This window comes from Homo sapiens, chromosome 9 (assembly GCF_000001405.40).
Source record: "Homo sapiens chromosome 9, GRCh38.p14 Primary Assembly".
Taxonomy (NCBI): Eukaryota; Metazoa; Chordata; class Mammalia; order Primates; family Hominidae; genus Homo; species Homo sapiens.
The window spans coordinates 77,033,959-77,055,209 of NC_000009.12; the positions used below are offsets into that span (position 1 = coordinate 77,033,959).

At 41.7% G+C, this 21,251-nt stretch overlaps 1 long non-coding RNA gene and 1 pseudogene across 1 annotated transcript, besides 2 other annotated features; one reads left to right on the forward strand and one right to left on the reverse strand.

Moving 5' to 3' along the window:
• Nucleotides 1–920: 920 nt before the first annotated feature.
• LOC105376096 (uncharacterized) lies at nt 921–21,172 on the reverse strand. Its single transcript, XR_929973.3, has 4 exons — nt 21,092–21,172; nt 3,627–3,738; nt 3,437–3,533; nt 921–1,182 (listed from the first exon to the last, which is right to left on the reverse strand). It is a non-coding gene; the product is annotated as an uncharacterized LOC105376096 (long non-coding RNA).
• Nucleotides 4,086–4,744: an enhancer, noted in NCBI's record as "OCT4-NANOG hESC enhancer chr9:79652960-79653618 (GRCh37/hg19 assembly coordinates)". NCBI's record gives its function as "activates a minimal SCP1, AML or CMV promoter by ChIP-STARR-seq in naive H9 embryonic stem cells {active_cell/tissue: H9 hESC(naive)}" and the evidence as "EXISTENCE:reporter gene assay evidence [ECO:0000049][PMID:30033119]".
• Nucleotides 4,745–5,402: an enhancer, noted in NCBI's record as "OCT4-NANOG hESC enhancer chr9:79653619-79654276 (GRCh37/hg19 assembly coordinates)". NCBI's record gives its function as "activates a minimal SCP1, AML or CMV promoter by ChIP-STARR-seq in naive and primed H9 embryonic stem cells {active_cell/tissue: H9 hESC(naive and primed)}" and the evidence as "EXISTENCE:reporter gene assay evidence [ECO:0000049][PMID:30033119]".
• Nucleotides 6,432–6,849, forward strand: ATP5MFP3 (ATP synthase membrane subunit f pseudogene 3; annotated as a pseudogene).
• Nucleotides 21,173–21,251: the final 79 nt, after the last annotated feature.

Below are 21,251 nucleotides of genomic sequence, written 5' to 3' on the forward strand. Positions count from 1 at the left end.
CCTCTGATTTTTTTTGTACAGATTTAAGGGGTACAGCAAGTACAATTATGTTACATGAATATATTGTGTAGTGGTGAAATCTGAGCTTTTAGTATAACCATTGTCCAAATAACAACTTTGGATTTTGATATCCAAGGGAGTTCCTAGAACCAATCCCCCATAAATACCGAGGGATGATTATATATTGAATGTTTTATATATGATTTCATCATTATATATTGATGATTATATATTGAAGATTATAGATTTAAGATTATATATTGAAGACTACTTACAATAGTCAATAATTTATTGAGCTTCTATGAGTTAAATGCTTTACATCTCAAATCCCATGTAAACTCATAACAACTCTTTAGTTAGGTGCTTTCATTATCCTTAATTTACAGATGAGAGAACTGAGGCATAAACAGTTCAAGGAGCTTTTTCAAGGCCATGCAACCAGTAAGTAGGTGAGAATAAGAACCTAAGTTTGTCTGGTATAAAGCCAGAGCTCTTCACCGGGAGATACTGATTCACCTTAAGTTCTTTAAGAGTGTTACATAAAATAATAGCAAGTTGGAATAAACATACTTCAAGGAAGTTTACAGTTTCCTATTATATCAGCAAAGCCATGTTTAGAATAGTAGTTTTGAAATAGTATTCAAATGCTTTCCAAACCAAACACCAAATGAAGGAACTCAAGAGAAGTTCGAGAATTATGAGGTCCATGCAAGATTTAACTTAAATGACAGCAAGCTGACACACTACATATTATTTTACTGGTTTGATATTAATATTTACGGAAACTTTTTCAATGTTTCTTGAGATGTCTTTTTCATCTTTGTCTCTTCATTAACTAGTATAATACCTGACCCATGATGCATTTTTAATAAAGATTTGTTGAAGAGAAAGAAGAATTTGGTCAATTCATATCTCCATCATGATTTAATGAATATTCAAATGCGTAGACTCTCAGCCTACATGGTTAATTTTTAAAACTTAGGTAACTAAATCTTAGTTAGCCTGAATGGCCTTAAGAGAGATTCACAGAGAGTCAACTACTTTGCCAAGGTCATTTAGCGAGTGTGTGATGGAACCAGGATTGGAACTCAGGGCTGTCAAACTCAAATCCAGCTCTTATCCAGTGTTCAACTGCTTTGAATAGTCTCTTCTCTCTGTTTCTTAATTTTCACATCTGTAAAACTGAAAAAATAATGTCTACTTAATTAGATTTTATTTACTCAATAAATAAAGTCAAGTATGTTGACAATTAAAATTGAAATTCATATTTTCAACAACCAGTTGAGAAACGTTTCTTAGTAATTGGAGACAGATTGCAAAAACTGTCTTTTTTTCTTTTTTCTTTTTTTTTTTTTTTGAGACAGAGTCTCGATTTATCGCCCAGGCTGGAGTGCAGTGGCGCGAACTCGGCTCACTGCAAGCTCCGCCTCCCAGGTTCACGCCATTCTCCTGCCTCAGCCTCCCGAGTAGCTGGGACTACAGGCGCCTGCCACCGCGCCCTGCTAATTTTTTTTGTATTTTTAGTAGAGACAGGCTTTTACCTTGTTAGCCAGGATGGTCTCGGTCTCCTGACCTCGTGATCCGCCTGCCTCGGCCTCCCAAAGTGCTGGGATTACCGGCGTGAGCCACCTCGCCCAGTGAAAAAACTGTCCTAACATTAATATGATTTAGTAAAGGATGCCAGATGAAACAAGGAAATTGTTTTGGACAATATTTTAAAAACTAGATCCAGACAGTGTTTCTTACAACTTTTCAGAGCTGTATGATGACTTTAAAATCATATTTATAGAAACAATTTCCTGGCTTTAAAATTAATTTTGGCATTATACGGTATTTACTTTAAAGTAAATTTTCTTTGTTTCAAAAACATCAAAAGCATATTAAAAGAAACACTGGGCTGGGCGCGGTGGCTCACGCCTGTAATCCAAGCAATTTGGGAGGCCGAGGCGGGCGGATCACCTAAGGTCGGGAGTTCGCGACCAGCCTGACCAACATGGAGAAACCCTGTCTCTACTAAAAATACAAAATTAGCTAGGCATGGTGGCGCATGCCTGTAATCCCAGGTACTTAGGAGGGTGAGGCAGGAGAATCGCTTGAAACCCAGAGGCAGAGGTTGCGGTGAGCGGAGATCGCGCCACTGCACTCCAGCCTGGGCAACAAGAGCGAAACTCAGTCTCAAAAAAAAAAAAAAAGAAAGAAAGAAAGAAAGAAAAAAGAAACATTGTAAAATGATTTGAACATTATTTAAAATGAACTTTTAGAATATACCCTAGTAAGAAGGCAAAACTCGAAATTGACTGTATAATCAAAAGTCCACATGAAAATGGATTCGGCCGGGCGCGGTGGCTCAGGCCTGTAATTCCAGCACTTTGGGAGGCCGAGGTGGGTGGATCACCTGAGTTCAGGAGTTCGAGACCAGCCTGGCCAATATGGCGAAACCCCATCTCTACTAAAAAAACAAAAAATTAGCCGGGGGTGGTGGCACATGCCTGTAATCCCAGCTACTGGGGAGGCTGAGGCAGGAGAACTGCTTGAACCTGGCAGGCGGAGCTTGCAGTGAGTGGAGATCATGCCACTGTGCTCCAGCCTGGGCAACAAGAGTGAAACTTCGTCTCAAGAAAAAAAAGAAAATGTGTATTCAAACAAGATGATGAGTACCTACTTGCCATATAAATCACAACTGCTTTCAACACCCCAGGTACACCTCTTTCTCTGTCTCTCTCTCTCTCTCCCCCCAACACACACCCCAAGGAAGTTGATTCTTTCTGTATCCAACTAATGAATTTAGCCTTCCTTCAAAGCCCAACTTAAAAGCAAACTCCTACCTGATATATTGTAGGATGTAGAAGAGCAAATATTTCCTTTCTTTCTTCCAAAAAGTAATCTCAATTTTCCTCCATTGTCCTCTACTCTCTGTTCTTAATCTCCTCTTTCCTAATTTTTTTTTTTTTCTGACAGAGTCTCACTCTGTCCCCAGGCTGGAGTGCAGTGGCGTGATCTTGGCTCACTGCAACCTCTCCCTCCCGGGTTCAAGCGTTTCTCCTGCCTCAGCCTCCCGAGTAGCTGGGGCTGCAGGCATGCGCCAACCACGCCCAGCTAATTTTTGTATTTTTAGTAGAGACAGGGTTTCACCATGTTGGCCAGGATGGTCTTGATCTTTTGAACTCGTGATCCACCTGCCTCAGCCTCCCAAAGTTCTGGGATTACAGGCATGAGCCATCGCGCCCACCTCCTCATTCTTAAAGCATGTGGTGAAAACCGTGGTACAGCATGCTTTGATTTGGATTGGACACGTACTGGCTCTCCTGACAAAATGGAACTGGAGAATAGTATGACCTTCACTTTTATGGAAATCTTCATATTCCTTACTGCATGGTGTTTTCCACTGTGTGTGTGTGTGTGTGTGTGTGTGTGTGTGTGTGTGTAACAGATTTACCCTTTGTAGGTCTCCTCAAAGCTGATTCCTCCAGAGTTAGGTAAAGTCTTTCTTGTCCGACTCTATTTGTATCTTCCATGTCCTTCCATTCCATGTCCTGCAACATGAAATTATATGGGACTCAGGGCCTCCCTCCCAAATTCTTGCAGCCATTTTCATCATTCATTTTAAGACATAACGGGGGCTTTACCTGTAGGTGGGCAACTTGCTTCACAGCAGATTTAAATTGACCAGAAGGATCATTCTAAAGTTCAAATTCTAGACATCTCGCCATGAAAAATGTTGGCCTTTGTGAACACCATCTAAAGGGCAATATGGTGAAATGAGATGAGCTTGAGGTTTGAATTCCATCTCTGAAATTTATACCTTAATCACTTTGATGATAATAATTAAGTATTTCTAGTCTGACATGAATCCTCAAAACAACTGTTTGCAGTAGCTCCTATTCTCCATTCCCACTCCCATTTCATAGGTAAAGAAACTGAGGCTTAGAGAGTCCATTTTCCTCCCACAATCACACAGCTAGTTAATGATTGTGTCAGGACTGGAACTCAAGGCAATGAAACTCAAGCCCCAGTTCTTAACCTCAATTTTATATAGCTTCATAAGTTCCATAACTTATTTCTCAGTTTTCTTACCTTAAAAATTGAACAAATAATTGTACCTCATTGGGTGGTTGAAGTAGCAACACAATAAATATTAGCTTCCTTTCACTGGAACTGTGGAATTGCTAAATCAATTTGAATCAAGACCTTTGGTAGAAACAAGTGAACATTATAGGTAATGCCCTGAATTTCATCCTCTGTTTTTCCAAGTAATTATAGGCTTCCCAATGACCCAGGTGCTTCTTGGTTGCAGATTTGAGTCTCCTACAAAGAGCAGGCTTCAGAAATGCCTTCGTTGGTCCTTAGCAATTTAAACACCTTTGCTGTGAGGGATTGAGGACTTTTAAAAGAGCACTTCTCACATTTTGTTGACAATAGCTTTTCCCTTTACGAATAGAAACAATTGTGTAAATTTACATATGTATCAATCTGAGCAGGGTTAGCTGTGTATTAACTTGGGGCAAGGAAAACTTAAGTCTAGAAAAGGAAATTGTCTTTAGTTTAACAAAGGAGAGGAAATTTACTCCTACTCCCCACCAAGAAGAAGAATGGACAAAGAAAGTACAAATGACCTATAGCCACATGGCTAAACCCCTTTCTCCTTTCCACAACAAAAGATCAACATCCAGTGACAATATTATGATGTTGATTTTGTTTTATACTGATGTATCATCAATTTTCATTTCTTTTTTTCTCTTTTCACATCATGTGAGATAAAGCCAATGATTGTGTACTTTTGATGAATCACAATGGCCTTTTTAATCTTTTGTTCTTCCCCTTATTATTCAACTAAGACAACATAGAGCCATTTCCAAGAGTTTACACAAGCCTTTTTTTTTTTTTTTTTTTTTTGGTTTCCCATGCTGTAAGTTGAAAGACCTGAGTACTAGTGTCTGCAATTCCTTTCTTCCTGATACTGAGAAAACAACAGAACTTCTCCTAAGCTTTAGTTTCCTTATTTACATTAATCAATTCCACATTTATCAAGCACTCCTTATGTAGCAAACACTGTGTTGTTGGGAGTTGTGCAAATAATGCTGCTCTATTTACCCCCACAAAATCACTGCAAGATGAAGTGTCCAAACACTCGGTCCAGCACCAAAAGTTGATAATTATCTTGTTCTAAGAAGGTCAGGTGAATGAAAGCTCTTTGTAGACTAAGTGTGCTACAGATGCTAGTGATGGGGATGGTGGTAATGAGGAAAGTGATGCCGGTGACGATGAGGAGGGGGGATGCTGTGAATAGTATCCATCCAGTGTTAGGAAAGTATTGATGCTACTGCTCTAGATTCATTGCAGATTTCAAAGTGGCAAACAAAACTTTTACGGGCATGGAAATGGAGTAGGAAATGGTAGACCTTTTTTTTTGCCTTGATCTAACAGAAGGTTGCTTCATGGAGCCTATAAGCCTATAGCACGTACATTAACATTATGTTCAAGTTCTCAAGATCAGATTCCTGGGATATCTCTTCCACATGCAACATTAACATTCTTCTTGACATATTTTATAAAGTGCCAGCCAGAGTGAGACAGAAACTCAGATATCTAAGAGCCTACTGAATTATTTGTAATCCTCGAAGCTGCCAAATGAAATTTATAGGTTGTAATATTTTCAGAGCATCTCACTAAAAATAACAATCCCAAGTCCGGGGGTGATGGCTCACGCCTGTAATCTCAGCACTTTGGGAGGCTGAGGCAGGTGGATCACGAGGTCGAGAGATCAAGACCATCCTGGCCAACATGGTGAAATATCGTCTCTACTAAAAATATAAAAATTAGCCAGGCGTGGTGGTGTGCACCTGTAATCCCAGCTACTCTGGAGGCTGAGGCAAGAGAATCCTTTGAACCCGGGAGGCGGAGCTTGCAGTGAGCTGAGATCGCACCACTACACTCCGGCCTGGGGACAGAGCAAGACTCCGTCTCAAAATAAAATAAAATAAAATAAAATAAAATAAAATAAAATAAAATAAAAAAGAATCCCAGAACTGATTACCTGCCCCTCCACACAGTAGGCATTATTTTTAGTACACTGAGCACTCTTTGGCATAAAAGATAAAAATGAGACACTTGACACTCACTACTAGTTTGTTCCTTGAGTCAAATAAGACTAAAATCTAGGATTTAGAAAATATTATTATTCTCAAAAAAAAGAAAGAAAATATTATTATTCTCTCTTTTTTACACATGATGTTGATACAGTTTCTAAAACAATCCCAAAGTCACTAAACTATCATTCTAAAATAAACATACTTGAGATTTCTGAATTTCTAAATTTAAAATATATCTCATATTAATACTAAAGTCAAGACTTAAGACTCTATAGCCCAATATCTATTTCACTTTTTAAATGATTGGTCATTGTGGATACAGTCTGGTGAGAATCTAAAATAGGCACAGTGGACCCCAGGTCTCCAAGATGACATCAGTCATACCAGTGAAGGACAAGAAACATCTGGAGGTCAAACTAGGGGAGCTGCCAAGCTGGATCTTGATGCAGGATCGAGTCATTGCCGCAGGGATTCAAAGAGGTTACTACTGGTACTACAACAAATACATCAACGTGAAGAAGGGGAGCATCTCGGGGCTGACCATGGTGCTGGCAGGCTACATGCTCTTCCGATACTGCCTTTCCTACAAGGAGCTCAAGCACAAGCGGCTATGCAGGTACCACTGAAGAAGGGGACACGCTCTGCACTCCCCACCATGACCTTCTTGGCCCAAGCCCCACCATGAGGAACACAATCTTGATCGTTGCTGAATCCTTTCATATTCTAATGGGAATTAACCTCCAAATAAAAGATGACTGGTTATATATATATGTGTGCGTGTGTGTATATATATATATATGTATATACATATATATATACACATATATATATGTATATACATATATATATACACATATATATATATGTATATACATATATATATACACATATATATATATATATATATACACATACGCACACACATATATATATATGAGTTAAGGCCAGGCACGGTGGCTCACGCCTGTAATCCCAGCACTTTGAGAGGCCAAGATGGGCGGATCACTTGAGGACAGGAGTTTGAGGCCAGCCTGGCCAACATGACGAAATCCCATCTCTACTAAAAAATACAAAAATTAGCCAGGTGTGGTGGCGTGCGCCTGTAGTCCCCACTACTCCAGAGGCTGAGAGGTAGGAGAATCGTTTGAACCCAGGAGGCGGAGGCTGCAGTGAGCCAAGGTGGTGACACTGCATTCCAGCCTGGGCGACAGAGCAAAATTCTGTCTCAAAATAAATAGATAAAATAAAATAAAAGTTAAAAATTATTTGGATAGATGCAAATTCAAATGCTTTGTGTTAGATGTGTGCATTTTCTGTTGCTGCTGTAATAAATTACCATAAACCTAGTGGCTTAAAATAATGCAATTTGTTCTTACAGTTTTGGAGGTCAGAAGTCCAAAAATCAGTTGTCCAGGCTAAAGTCAAAGTGTTGGCAGGACTGGCTTCTTCTGGAGGCTCTGAAGGGATAATTCACTTCCTTGCCTTTTCTAGTTTCTAGTGGTCCTCTGTATTCCTTGGTTTGTGACCTCCTCCTTCATCTTCAAGGTATGCTTCCATCATCACATCACCTTCTCATCTTCTTTTTTTTTTTTTTTTTCAGACGGAGTCTCACTCTGTTGCCCAGGCTGGAGTGCAGTGGTGCGATCTCATCTCACTGCAACCTCTGCCTCCCGGGTTCAAGCAATTCTCCTGCCTCAGCCTCCCAAGTAGCTGGGACTACAGGCATACACTAACGCACCCAGCTAATTTTTGTATTTTTTTTAGTAGAAACAGGGTTTCGCCATATTGGCCAGGCTTGTCTCAAACTCCTGACCTTGTGATTTGCCTGCCTTGGCCTCCCAAAGTGCTAGGATTACAGGCGTGAGCCACTGCGCCTGGCCCACCTTCTCATGTTCTGTAGTCAAATCTTTGATGGGGTTAAGGGCACACCACCCCAAAATATAGCACCTTGGCATTTGAGAAAATAGCAGAACCAGGAAGGTCACTTCACCTTTCACCACCCTTCCTCCATGATGCAAATCATAAAACCTAGGAAGAATTTTCTGATCTTCTCCTGAAGCATGTCATAAGATTCTTACTAAAGAGGTGCCCTCCCTATATCTGGGGGAAAGGAACTAAGACAGAGATGCCAAGAAGAAACTGAACAAACAGGCCTCACTAATTTCCCCTCAGTTGATTACCATTAGATCAGATCAGACCCCTTTTATCCAATCATACTTCTGCATGACTGTCCACTCTATTAAACCTAAGCACAGAAATACATGGGTTTCTCTCTTCCTTTGGGCCTTCATCATTTCCTTCTTGCTTTTTTTTTTTTTTTTTTTAGACAGAGTTTCGCTCTTGTTGCCCAGGCTGGACTGCAATGGCACGATCTCGGCTCACCACAACCTCTGTCTCCTGGGTCCAAGTGACTCTCCTGCCTCTGAGTAGCTGAGATTACAGGCATGTGCCACCATGCCTGGCTAATTTTGAATTTTTAGTAGTGATGGAATTTCTCCATGTTGGCCAGGCTGGTCTTGAACTCCTGGCCTCAGGTGATCCACCTGCCTTGGCCTCCTAAAGAGCTGGGATTTTTTTTTTTTTTTTTTTTTTTTTTTTTTTTGAGGTGGAGTCTGGCTCTGTCGCCCAGGCTGGAGTGCAGTGGTGCAATCTCGGCTCACTGCAAGCTCCGCCTCCTGGGTTCACGCCATTCTCCTGCCTCAGCCTCCGGAGTAGCTGAGGCTACAGGCGCCCACCACTACGCCCGGCTAATTTTTTGTATCTTTAGTAGAGACGGGGTTTCGCCATGTTAGTCAGGATGGTCTCGATCTCCTGACCTCGTGATCCACCCACCTTGGCCTCCCAAAGTGCTGGGATTACAGGCGTGAGCCACCATGCCCGGCCAGGGTCTTCAATTCCTTATGAGGGCTCCCATCTCACACAAACCTTATTAAGTAAATGTATATGCTTTTCTCCTGTCAATCTATCTTTTGATGGGGCCTCAGCCATGATCCTAGTGATGGGTAAGGAAGAGACTTCCTTTCCCCCACATTTGCCTCTGCCTTCCTCTTGTAAAGACACTTACGATAACGCTTAGGGCCTGCAGGATAACCTCCCCATTATAAGATAGTTACTTTAATCACATTTACAAAGCCCTTTTTATTATACAAATTAACGTTTTCAAGTTCTGAGAATTAGGAAGTGGGTATCTTGGGTGGGAGGGGACATTATTATGTCTACCACACCAGGTGAGTCACTCATTAATATGGGGCTTTTGTAGACCTTACCTAGATTTTCTACTCCATGAAAAAGGTAAAATAACATTTGATTTCACATCTAATCAAGATATTCATCACAGTAACTTCTACGGAGAACTCCAACTAGAGCACCTGACATTCAAGATTATGGGGCAGGACTAAAGGGGTCCCACAATAAATCTCACAGATTAATTGAAGGCAAGGTGATTTTGTATCCAAAGAAATCTGTTGCTTGCTTTCTATCTTCATCTCTTTAATTAAAGACACAGGCAAAGCTAACAGGAGTCAGCCTGTGTTGAAAAACTGAAGTAGGCTGGGTGCAGCAGCTCACGCCCGTAATCCCAGCACTTTGGGAGGCTGAGGCGGGTGGATCACCTGTGGTCAGGAGTTTCAGATCAGCCTGGCCAACATGGTGCAACCCTATATCTACTAAAAATACAAAAAAAGTTAGCTGGGCATGGGGCCGGGGGGTGCCTGTAATCCCAGCTACTTGGGAGGTTGAGGCAGGAGAATTGCTTGAACCCAGGAGGCAGAGGTTGCAGTGAGCCGAGATCACACCACTGCCCTCCAGCCTGGGCAACAGAGCAAGACTCCATCTCAAAAAAAAATAATTTTTTTTTTTGTAAAATTTCCCTAGTAACTGATGATGTTTAGCATGTTTTCATGTGCTTACTGGCCATATTTATGTCTTTTTAATTAAGGTGTTTGGTCAAATCTTTTGCAGTTAAAAATAATGAGTTTTTACTGAAAAAATAAATTTTAGAGATAGGGTCTGTCACCCAGGCTGGAGTGCAGCGGTGCGATCATAGCTCACTGCAGCCTCAAACTCTTGAGCCCAAGCAATCTTCCCTACTCAGTCTCCTGAGTAACTGGGGCTACAGGTCCATCACACCACTCCTAGCTAAATTTTTAATTTTTTCAGAGATGGAACTGGGGATAGTAAGTGGGGGGATAGGGAGATGTTGTGGAGGTCTTGCTATGTTGCTCAGGCTGGTCTTGAACTCTTGGCCTCAAGCGATCCATCCACCTCTGCCTCTGGAGTAGCTGGTATTACAGGCTTGAGCCACTGCACCCAGCTAGAGATACTTAATCTGGTTAAGAAAATGCAAATTGTACCACCAGAGAAAACTTCATTTTTCCCTTTGAAGTGAGGATTACAAGATAAGGATCATATATATATATATATATACACACACATATATAATTTTATTTTATTTTATTTTATTTTATTTTGAGATAGAGTTTCGCTCTTGTTGCCCAGGCTGCAGTGCAATGCGCGATTTCAGCTCACCACAACCTCGGCCTCCTGGGTTCATGCAATTCTCCTGCCTTGGCCTCCTGAGTAGCTGGGATTACAGGCACCTGCCACTATGCCCGGCTAATTTTGTATTTTTAGTAGAGACAGGGTTTTTCCATGTTCGTCAGGCTGGTCTCGAACTCCTAACCTCAGGTGATCATCCCGCCTCAGCCTCCCAAAGTGCTGGGATTACAGGCGTGAGCCACCGTGCCCGGTGGATCTTTCCAGTATTTAGGATCCCATTCCTTAAGTGGGGCTGGGAAAGAGGGGATGTAGGAATGGGGAGGAATCTGACTTCAACAATTGATGTGGGTTTGAGAACCTTGGATCCACCCCCTAAGTACTGACATGCAAAGAAACAGCATGAAAAGGAAAAAACATTTAAGGGTTGCTGGACCTCAGTGAAAAGGCAGAGGTTTATATGGTTTGTAATACATGAGGAGCTTCACATTTCCTCTTTCAAAGAAGAGGAAAACAGTAGCATTTTGTGTGTGTGTGTGTGTCTGTTTATTTGGAAGAGTTGATTCTCAGTCATTGATACTAAATGTAAATTCCAGAAGTTCAAATGACAATATCTGGTGACTCCTTTACAAACCATAGGACAGGAGTAGGCACCTGTCAGAAATAAGGCAAGTTTTAACTTTTTAAAAATTGTGCAGGATGTCACCGTATTTTCAAAGGATTTATGACACGTGCTCGAGTGATAAAGATCTGCTCATATAAAAGTTAACATAAAGCTCCATTTTCCATTGTTTTCATATGGAGAAAGTGTTTTGAATTCCAAAAAGTGTTTTTCCCCCAAACAATTTGAAATATCTCTGCCAACAATGGGATGGTACACTTCATTTGCCTCCACAGTTGTGTTCCTGAAATACAAATTACGTTTTTTATAACTCAAATTGAATATTAACATTCCCAGACTCCCCATTATGTAAAGAAATTGGTACATGTATGCTAAAAGCAGAGCATACATAGATTATACATTGTTTCAATAATAGAGAATAATAGAGGAACTGAGGCACAAGAGAATAAGTGACCCCAGAACACCAACAGACAATGATAGCTCTGGGAACAGACACAGGATTTTTGACTCCCAGCCAGAACCATGAAAAATATACCAACTTCCCTTCCTAAAGCAGAGCACATTTTTATGATTGACTATAGATTTAAAACCTTTAAAAAATGGTCTTTTTATCCTCTAAGGCATTGTTTCAAACATGAAGTACCTGGAAAATTATTTCAACTGTGCACTTTGTTGTGTCCTATGTTGACCCAGGCTTGATTATCAACAGGTTTTGTTTTGTTTTAATATTTGATTAAGTCTCCATCCTAGATGGAGTATTTAGATTTGCTACTTTTTAACTCATGGATTAGCTCTGCACTTGGGGAATCTTTGGACAGCATCAAACCCACCTACAGAATTCTGTGATTTAATTTCACTTATGAATTTAAAGGGCTTACAGCTGCCTTCACAGTTAAATGAGGATATACGGAGATGTTGCCCTCCCTGGCAGAGACAATTCCCCAAACAGCAGGACTTCTGCACTCTCAGGCATAGATAGTTTGACCAAGGAGAGTGAAACTAGCACACACAAACACAAACATGTCATCTGAGACTTTCAGAAAATGGGGATCCTGAGGGAAATCTTAGAGCATAAATTACTTCGCAGGCTTGTTTTTTTGTTTTTTGTTTTGTTTTGTTTGCTAGATCTTGGTTGAAAGAGATTTGTGTTCTTTCCAGATGCACAGCTGTGGAGTCTCTGGGGGAATTTCTTGCTCTTTTTCATTTTTGCATATCAACCAAAAACTGAGATCTAAGCACCAAATGTAATATCACAAACCCCACAGATGATGTGCGTGGGTTTTTCAAAGGAGACTAGACAGGGAGCTGATTAAAATCCAAGCTGGGGATTCTGAGGGCTATGCTGCACCACGGGTAGCAGGGTGAGAGGCAAGACAGCTGAACAGGTGGGATAAGGCCTTTGTTTTGTGGTTGTTTTTGTTGTCATTGCTGTTTGTTCAGTTCTCACTGTGGCTCTAACCGTTAGTATAAACTTGGCCAAATTAATGGGTCTTTTGTTATCTCAGTTACGCTGGTGAAATAAATATTTGTTACATGAAAAAAATTAATAAACAAACCATAGATTAATTTTTGCTTTACTTGTAATTAGGTATGTGACCTTAGCCAAGTGATTTGATCTCTACTCCTTTATTTCTCTATCTCATAAGTTAGTCTAAAATTTATCCTGGTTCCTTTTTTTTTTTGAGACAAGGTCTTACCCTGTCACCAGACTGAAGTGCAGTGGCACGATTATACCTCACTGAAGCCTCAACCTCCTGGGCTCAAGTGATTCTCCCACCTCAGGCTCCTGGATAGCTGGGACTGCAGGTGCATGCCACCACATATGGCTAGTTTTTCATATTTCTTGTGAAGACAGCGTTTCGCCATGTTGCGCAGGCTGGTCTTGAACTCCTGGTGTCAAGTGATCCTCCTGCCTCCGCCTCGCAAAGTGCTGGGATTCCAGGTGTGAGCCACCATGCCCAGCCTCCATACTTTTCCTTTCCCTGAAGGAAGAGGAGGAGTGAACTAAATATTCTCACCTTGCTTTTCTCCTTCCCTCTTGTCTCCTGGTAAGGCTCCTACTGGCCAAACCCAACAGAACACCATAAGGCAAGAGAATCGGTTTGTGAAATCCACACAGGTTTGCCTCCTGGGGAAGGCAGCAGGGTGGAAAAGGATGGAGAATGTACAGTGAGGAGCAAAGAACCCGGCCGACCTACTCTAGTGTTCACCAGAAAGAGCTGCAGTAGGGGCAGGGAGAGTGAGACTTACCCAGACATAAATGTTGATGTCACCGGGCATGGTGGCTCACGCCTGTAATCTCAGCACTTTGGGAGGCCGAGGCAGGTGGGTCACTTGAGGTCAGGAGCTTGAGACGAGCCTGACCAACATGGTAAAACCCCGTCTCTGCCAAATACAAAAAATTAGCCAGGAGTGGTGGCACATGCCTGTAATCCCAGCTACTTAGGAGGCTGAGGCAGGATAATCACTTGAAACCAGGAGGCGGAGGTTGCAGTGAGCTGAGATTGCACCATTGCACTCCAGCCTGGGCAACAAGAGCGAAACTCTGTCTCAAACAAAACAAAACAAAACAAAACAAACATAAATAAAATAAATTTTGAAGTCCAACAGTTAGCCCCAAAATACCTGTCCAAACACCAAGAGCCCTTAATACTTACCATATGTTTTGGTATCCTTTTTATCAACTCTTATCTATAAAATATCTATTTTTAAAGTAACTTTAAGAAAATGTCTTCCTTCATGCTCTAGTCTAGGATCTAGAAATTAACATGTTACTGTTTTTTGTCTAAAAACATTGTTTAAAATGTTCAGTGAAATGACCCGTGCAAGTTTCATCTCAAACCCATCATTTCAAACTAGGCTAAACTATGCTGCTACATTTACCAAGGCAGGATGTAGTCAATTACTAGCTTTCTCATTAAAGTACTGAGAACTTACAAAAAGAAAAAAACAATACTCTACAACCTTGTAGCACCCATTAACAAAGCACTTAGCAGCCTCATATCATTTTTTTTCTTTTCTTTTCTTTGAAGTGGAGTTTCGCTCTTGTTGTCCAGGCTGGAGTGCAACAGTGTGATCTCATCTCACCGCAACCTCCACCTCCCAGGTTCAAGCAATTCTCCTGCCTCAGCCTCCAGAGTAGGTGGGATTACACGAATGTGCCACCACACCTGGCTAATTCTGTATTTGTAGTAGAGACAGAGTTTCTCCATGTTGGTCAGGCTGGTCTCAAACTCCCGACCTCAGGTGATCCACCTGCCTTGGCCTCCCAAAGGGCTGGGATTACAGGCATCAGCCACCGCACCTGGCCTCATATCCTTTCTATTCAAAGCACTTTACCATTCTTTTATTAGAGATTCCGTTCATTATCTATTCAAAGTAGAGCAAAGTTTGTTTTGTTTCCTTTTCTCCCTTAAGTTACTAAGGAAGAAAGTTAATTTTGTCCTTAAGTTACTAAGTTTTAAGGGAAAACCCATTAGGTGACTGCCTAAGGTCATGCAACAGAACAAAGGTGAGAGATAGAAGAAATCTGGGAATATAATTAATGTTAAACAACAATAATACCTCAAATGGCAGCTTCTGAAACCAAGCTCAGGACTATGGCTAATGGAATATAGTTTCTACTGATTCAGAAAACAAATCGAATATGGGTTTTGAATGGCCAGAGAGCTCTCTAGTTACAGAGCTTGTATTAGTGAAAATAGGCTAAGCTATGCTGCTCTAACAAGCAGATTCTGATCTCAGAGTGGGTAACACACACAGAGCCATTTTTTTCTCCCCAACAAAATCTGCTGGAGAGTGGCCTCTTTCCAGGGCAGCTCCCATCCAAGTGGTAAGTCAGGTTTCTAAGCATTTCGTTTTTTAATTATGTCATCTGGAACATGTGACTTCCAAGTTGCCACAGCGGAGGAAGGGAGAGCTGGAAGGCTGCACTTAAACGCTTGAGCCCAGAAGTGACACACATCACTTCCACTTAACAGCCATTGGTCAGAACTAGTTACATGGCCCTACTTATAGGCGGGAGCTGGAAAGTGTGTCAGACCACATGATTTGTTGGTGAGAGATAAATGTCTCTGCTACAGTCCTATCTATAACTACTTATGTAGGCAGAATAGGGGTTGCAGAAGTGGATGAAGGAGACTCCTTAGGTACATAAGAAAAGGTTACTTTTTAGGCAGGGCGCAATGGTTCACGTCTATAATCCCAGCACTTTGGGAGGCCGAGGCAGGCTGATCACGAGTTCAGGAGATCGAGACCATCCTGGCTAACATGGTGAAACCCCAGCTCTTCTAAAAATACAAAAAATTAGCCGGGCGTAGTGGCTGGCGCCTGTAGTCCCAGCTACTCGGGAGGCTTGAACCCGGGAGGTGGAAGTTGCAGTGAGCTGAGATCGCGCCACTGCACTCTAGTCTGGGCGATGGATTGAGACTCCATCTCAAAAAAAAAAAGAAAGAAAGAAAAGAAAAGATTACTTTTTAGTAAAAGAGTCTTGTTCTCTCTACCTTCCCAGGGATCTGAACTTTCTTACAAAAGAAGGTTAAAATGGATGTGCTTATTAGTGTAACATTATTATTGAATATCATTCAGGGATGTAGCTAAAGGAAATATGAGGTAATGGCAAGAGCACAGGATTCAGAATCAGATACTATAGCCTCAACTCTACCATGTCACCATGAGGATATTGCTGATCTTCTTTGAGCATGTTTTCTTTTTCCTTTTTTTAGGGACAGGATCACACTCTGTCACCCAGGCTGGAGTACAGGTGGCACAATCATAGCTCATTGCATCCTCAAATGCCTGGGCTCAAGCAAACATCAGTTTTCTTATCTGTGAAATGAGGATAAAAATGTCTCCACTTAAGGGTTGTTGCAAGGAAGGTGTTGCCTTAGTCATAAAAGCTAGGGAAGGTGTTCCTAACGAAAAACAATTCGTCAGAGACATGAAGGTAGAGGAAGAATTCACACATGAAGGGGGCTGGGGAAAATGATTTAAGAAAAGAAACAGGCCTGGCGCAGTTGCTCAAGCCTGTAATCCCAGCACTTTGGGAGGCTGAGGAGGGTAGATCACCTGAGGTCAGGAGTTCTAGACCAGCCTGGCCAACATGGTGAAACCTTGTCTCTACTAAAAATACAAAAAATTAGCCGGGTGTGGTGGCAGGTGCCTGTATTCCCAGCTACTTGGGAGGCTGAGACAGGATAATTGCTTGAACCCAGGAGGCGGAGGTTGCAGTGAGCCAAGATTGCACCACTGCACTACAGCCTGGGCCACAGAGCGAGACTCTGTCAAAAAAAAAGAAAAAAAAAGAAACAGGCTCTGTGCTGAGAAGGACAACTTCAAGTAGAAAGACTGAAGGAAAGTTACAGTAGTGGTGTATAAGAGGGAGATTAAACATCAACCTTGCAAGCCGTGTTCAAAATTTTGGTCTTCATCCTAACAATGAAAGGAAGATCTTAATGGAGATCTCTTAGGTTCTAAATAAAGGGAATGATAAGATCTGACTTGTGTTTTAAAAAGATTTCCCAGGTTGCAGTGAAGAGAATCCATTAGTAGGGAAGAGTAATGTCAAAGATACCAATCAAGAGGCCATTGGAGTAAATCAACTGATGAGTTTGGATGAAGTAGGTGTAGAGAAAGATAAGATGAAGAAAGGTATTTAAAAGGTAAAATTAATAGGACTTGATGGGAAATGGGATATAGGGTATTAGGAAAAGGGAGGTGTCAAGAATTGCTGCTAGGTTTTTGGCTTGCTTAAGTGGATGAACAGTACATTATTCCCCGAAATTAACCCTGTAAGAAGATCAGGCTTGGGATATGGGAGGAAGATCAAGAATTTACTTTTGGACACATGCACATGTATGTTTATTGCAACACTGTTCACAATAGCAAAGACTTGGAGCCAACCCAAATGCCCATCAATGATAGACTGGATAAAGAAAATGTGGCACATATACACCATGGAATACTATGCAGCCATAAAAAGTGATGAGTTCATGTCCTTTGCAGGGACATGGATGAAGCTGGAAACCATCATTCTGAGCAAACTATCACAAGGACAGAAAACCAAACACTGCATGTTCTCACTCATAAGTAGGAGTTGAACAATGAGAACACATGGACACAGTGAGGGGAACATCACACACCGACTTGTCAGGGGGTGGGGGGAAGGGGAGGGATAGCATTAGGAGAAATACCTAATGTAGATGACGGGTTGATGGGGACAGCAAACCACTGTGGCATGTGTATACCTATGTAACAAACCTGCACATTCTGCACATGTATCCCAGAACTTAAAGTACAATAAAAAAATTTTTAATGATATATTTTTGCATTCCTTTACTTGCCACTTTTTTTTGTATATTTTTAGATGCATCCCCTATAAGCAGAATGTTATTGGATTTTGTTGTCTTTTTTAAACCAAGTCTGACAATTAAAAAGTTCACTTTCGGCTATGGTGAAATTTCGTTCCTTTGAGTAATTCAAGTGGAGATGACAGGAGTAAATATCTCTAATGTGTAAAATGCCTGATTTTCCTGGTGCACAGTACACAAAAATCAGTGACCATTATTATTGCCATTATTTTTATTTCTATTATGACTTTTAGGGACTTTCACAACTGGTGTCCAGTTTACCTGCTTAGACTAAAATAGTATTATTTGCTTTCAGTCATAATTTGCCATTCTATTTTCATCTATTCTATTTCAATTTACCAATTATTTATGGTCCAATTTAGATGTCACTCTCTCCATGCATAAAGCCTTTGCTTATTCTCAAAAAATCTTCAGCCTCTGAAATCCTGTAAAATTTTGTGGTTCTCAAATACTAGTTCCTGGCGTTATTCCAAATTGAGCTATCCTGACTGGAACCTCTTGTCCTTCTAGTTATTACACTCTCTTATCCCCTCCTAGACAAATTTTGGGTCTCCAGTTTCTACATTCCCTCTGTTTTCCCTATCAGCATCCCTCCCATCTTCCCTTTCTTCCTTACCCATTATTTCAACAACATTCTTGTCAATACTTTCAACCTCTTTGTTTTTCAGTCCTTCTATTACAATTGTCTAGCAAGGTCGGGCACATTGGCTTACGCCTGTAATCCCAGCACTTTGGGAGGTTGAGGTGGGCAGATCAATTGAGCTCAGGAGTTCAAGACCAGATTGGACAACATGGAAAAACCCCCATCTCTACTAAAAATACAAAAATTAGCTGGGCATGGTAGTGCATGCCTGTAATTCCAGCTACTCGGGAGCCTGAGGCAGGAGAATGGCTTGGACCAGGGAGGCGGAGGCTGTAGTGAGCCAAGATTGCACCACTGCACTCCAGCCTGGGTGACAGAGTGAGACCCCATTCTCCACTCCCCCAACAAAGAAAAAATTGTCTAGCAAAATCTAACCCTAGATTAAGCCAATCATCTACCACCTCCAGGATTTTATCTAGGCTTGTAAACACTGCTGGAGACATTCACACTATGATGAGAACAACTATATGGTACTGTTATTGGAAAGGGATCCTGATCCAGACCCCAAAAGAGGGTTCTTGGACCTCATGCAAGAAAGAATTCGGGATGAGTGCATAGATTAAAGTGAAAGCAAATTTAAGAAAGTAAAGGAATAAAAGAATGGCTACTCCATAGGCAGAGCAGCAGCATGGGCTGCTGGTTGGCTATTTTTATGGTTATTTCATGATTATGTGCTAAACAAGGGGTGGATTATTCATGAGTTTACTGGGAAAGGGGTGGGCAATTCCTGGAACCGAGAGTTCCTCCCGCTTTTAGACCGTATAGGGTAACTTCCAAACATTGCCATGACATCTGTAAACTGTCATGGTGCTGGTGGGAGTGTCTTTTACCATGATAATGCATTATCATTGGCATATAATGAGCAGTGAAAATGAGCAGAGGTCACCTTTGTCACCATCTTGGTTTTGGTGGGTTTTGGCCAGCTTCTTTACCACATGCCATTTTATCAGCAAAGTCTTTGTGACCTGTATATTGTGCTGAACTCCAGTCTCATCCTTGTGACTTAGAATGCCTAACCTCTTGGGAACACAGCCCTGTAGCTCTCAGCCTTATTTTACCCAGCCCCTATTCAAGATGGAGTCACTCTGGTTCAAACGCCTCTGTCAGTACAACATAAATTTGTATTAAGGCTCCTATGAAGAACTCATTTCTTTCCTACTGTCAAGCAATTCTTCTAAGTTTCCCTAGATTTCCAACATGCAACCTCCCCACACCCTTGCAGTCAGCAGACGACCTTGCTTTTACAGACAAAAAAAAGAAGGCTCCAGATGAGGCCTAATGTAATTCCCGGTGTGAATTCATGAACACAGCTGAATCTATACTTACTCTCTCTTAATGTTCTCAAATCATAATGGGAGAAATTGTCCCCTCACTGTAGGGCTACTTGTTATATAAACTCCATCTCCATTTCCACTCCAACCACCACCTTCAGGAATTGGACCTTCTCTCCATTATCATCAGTGTCTTCCTCTGTACTAGCTCCTCCCTGTTAGCATTTAAACACGCCCAAATCTGTCCCACCTTTAAGGCAAAACAAAAACACTCCCTTGCAGTCACACAAACATCCCTTGCAGTCCTGTATCTTCTCTGCCCTACTCCCTCTCCATCTCCATCTGTCTCTGTTTTTTAACATCATGAAAGTATTTGATCCTTCTTAAAGCATTCTCTTCCCTTTGCTGTCATGATATTGTGTTCACCTAGCTTTTCTTTAACCCCTCCAATTACTCCTTTTCCTTAAACATGGGCTTCTTCTTAAATGATGGTGTTGTGTTTGGTCTGAGATCCTCTTCTCTACTTCCTCTCTGCACTCTGAGCATTAGCTGGGCATGGTGGCACACAACTGTGGTCCCAGCTACTTGGGAGACTGAGGAAAGAGGATCGCTTGAGCCCAGGAATTTGAGGCTGCAATGAGCTATCACACCACTGCACTCCAGTCTGGGTGACAGAGTGAGATACTGTCACTGAACATTTTTTTCATACATTAAATAATATACTCTCTCTCTGTGCAATTCTGTCTACTCTCACAGCTGCAAATTACCATCTGTGTTGATGGTCCTCAGCGTATAAGTATCTCAAACTCCAATCTCCCTCTTTAGAGTCAGACCTACACATTCTTCCCACCTCCTGGGTATCACTGATTGGTTGTCCCACAAGCACCTCAAGCTTATTATCTAGCTTGCACTCACCACTTTCTCCCAGACCTGCTCCTTCTTCTGCATTCAACTTTTCAATGGCTAGCAATACAATTTGCCTCAACAGAACCCTGGGCATCACACGCTAGTCTCTAAGTACCTTAAGGCAAGTATAGTATCTGTTTATTCACCACTGTACATCCAGCACTGTGGGGCAACACTTGGCACATTGTAGGAACCTGATACATATTTAAGGGATAAATTAATTACTCCTTACTCTCTCTTATTCCTTGCATTCAGGAAATCACCAAGTCCTGTCAATTCTTCTTTCTAAATATTCTTTCAATTCTTCTTCTTTTTTTTTTTTTTTTTTTTTTTTTTGAGACGGGGTCTCTCTCTGTCGCCCAGGCTGGAGTGCAGTGGCGCGATCTCGGCTCACTGCAAGCTCCTCCTCCCGGGTTCATGCCATTCTCCTGCCTCAGCCTCCCACATAGCCGGGACTACAGGCGCCTGCCGCCATGCCCGGCTAATTTTTTGCATTTTTAGTGAGATGGGGTTTCACCGTGTTAGCCATGATGGTCTCAATCTCCTGATCTCGTGATCTGCCCGCCTCGGCCTCCCAAAGTGCTGGGATTACAGGCGTGAGCCACCGCGCCTGGCCCAATTCTTCTTATTATTATGGTCACTAACCTAGTTCAAGGCCACCATTATCTCTTTAATAGTCTTTCAGTTGATCTCCTCACCTTGCCGCCTATTGCAGAGACTGATAGTTATACCCAAGGCCTATTCTCCCATCTTCTTTTGCTACTAGAACTGAGCCCCATGCCTCCCAGTTAGAGGCCACATTTCCCAGTCTCCCTGGCAGCCCTACGTGACCAAGCTACAACATCACCTGGCATTGTT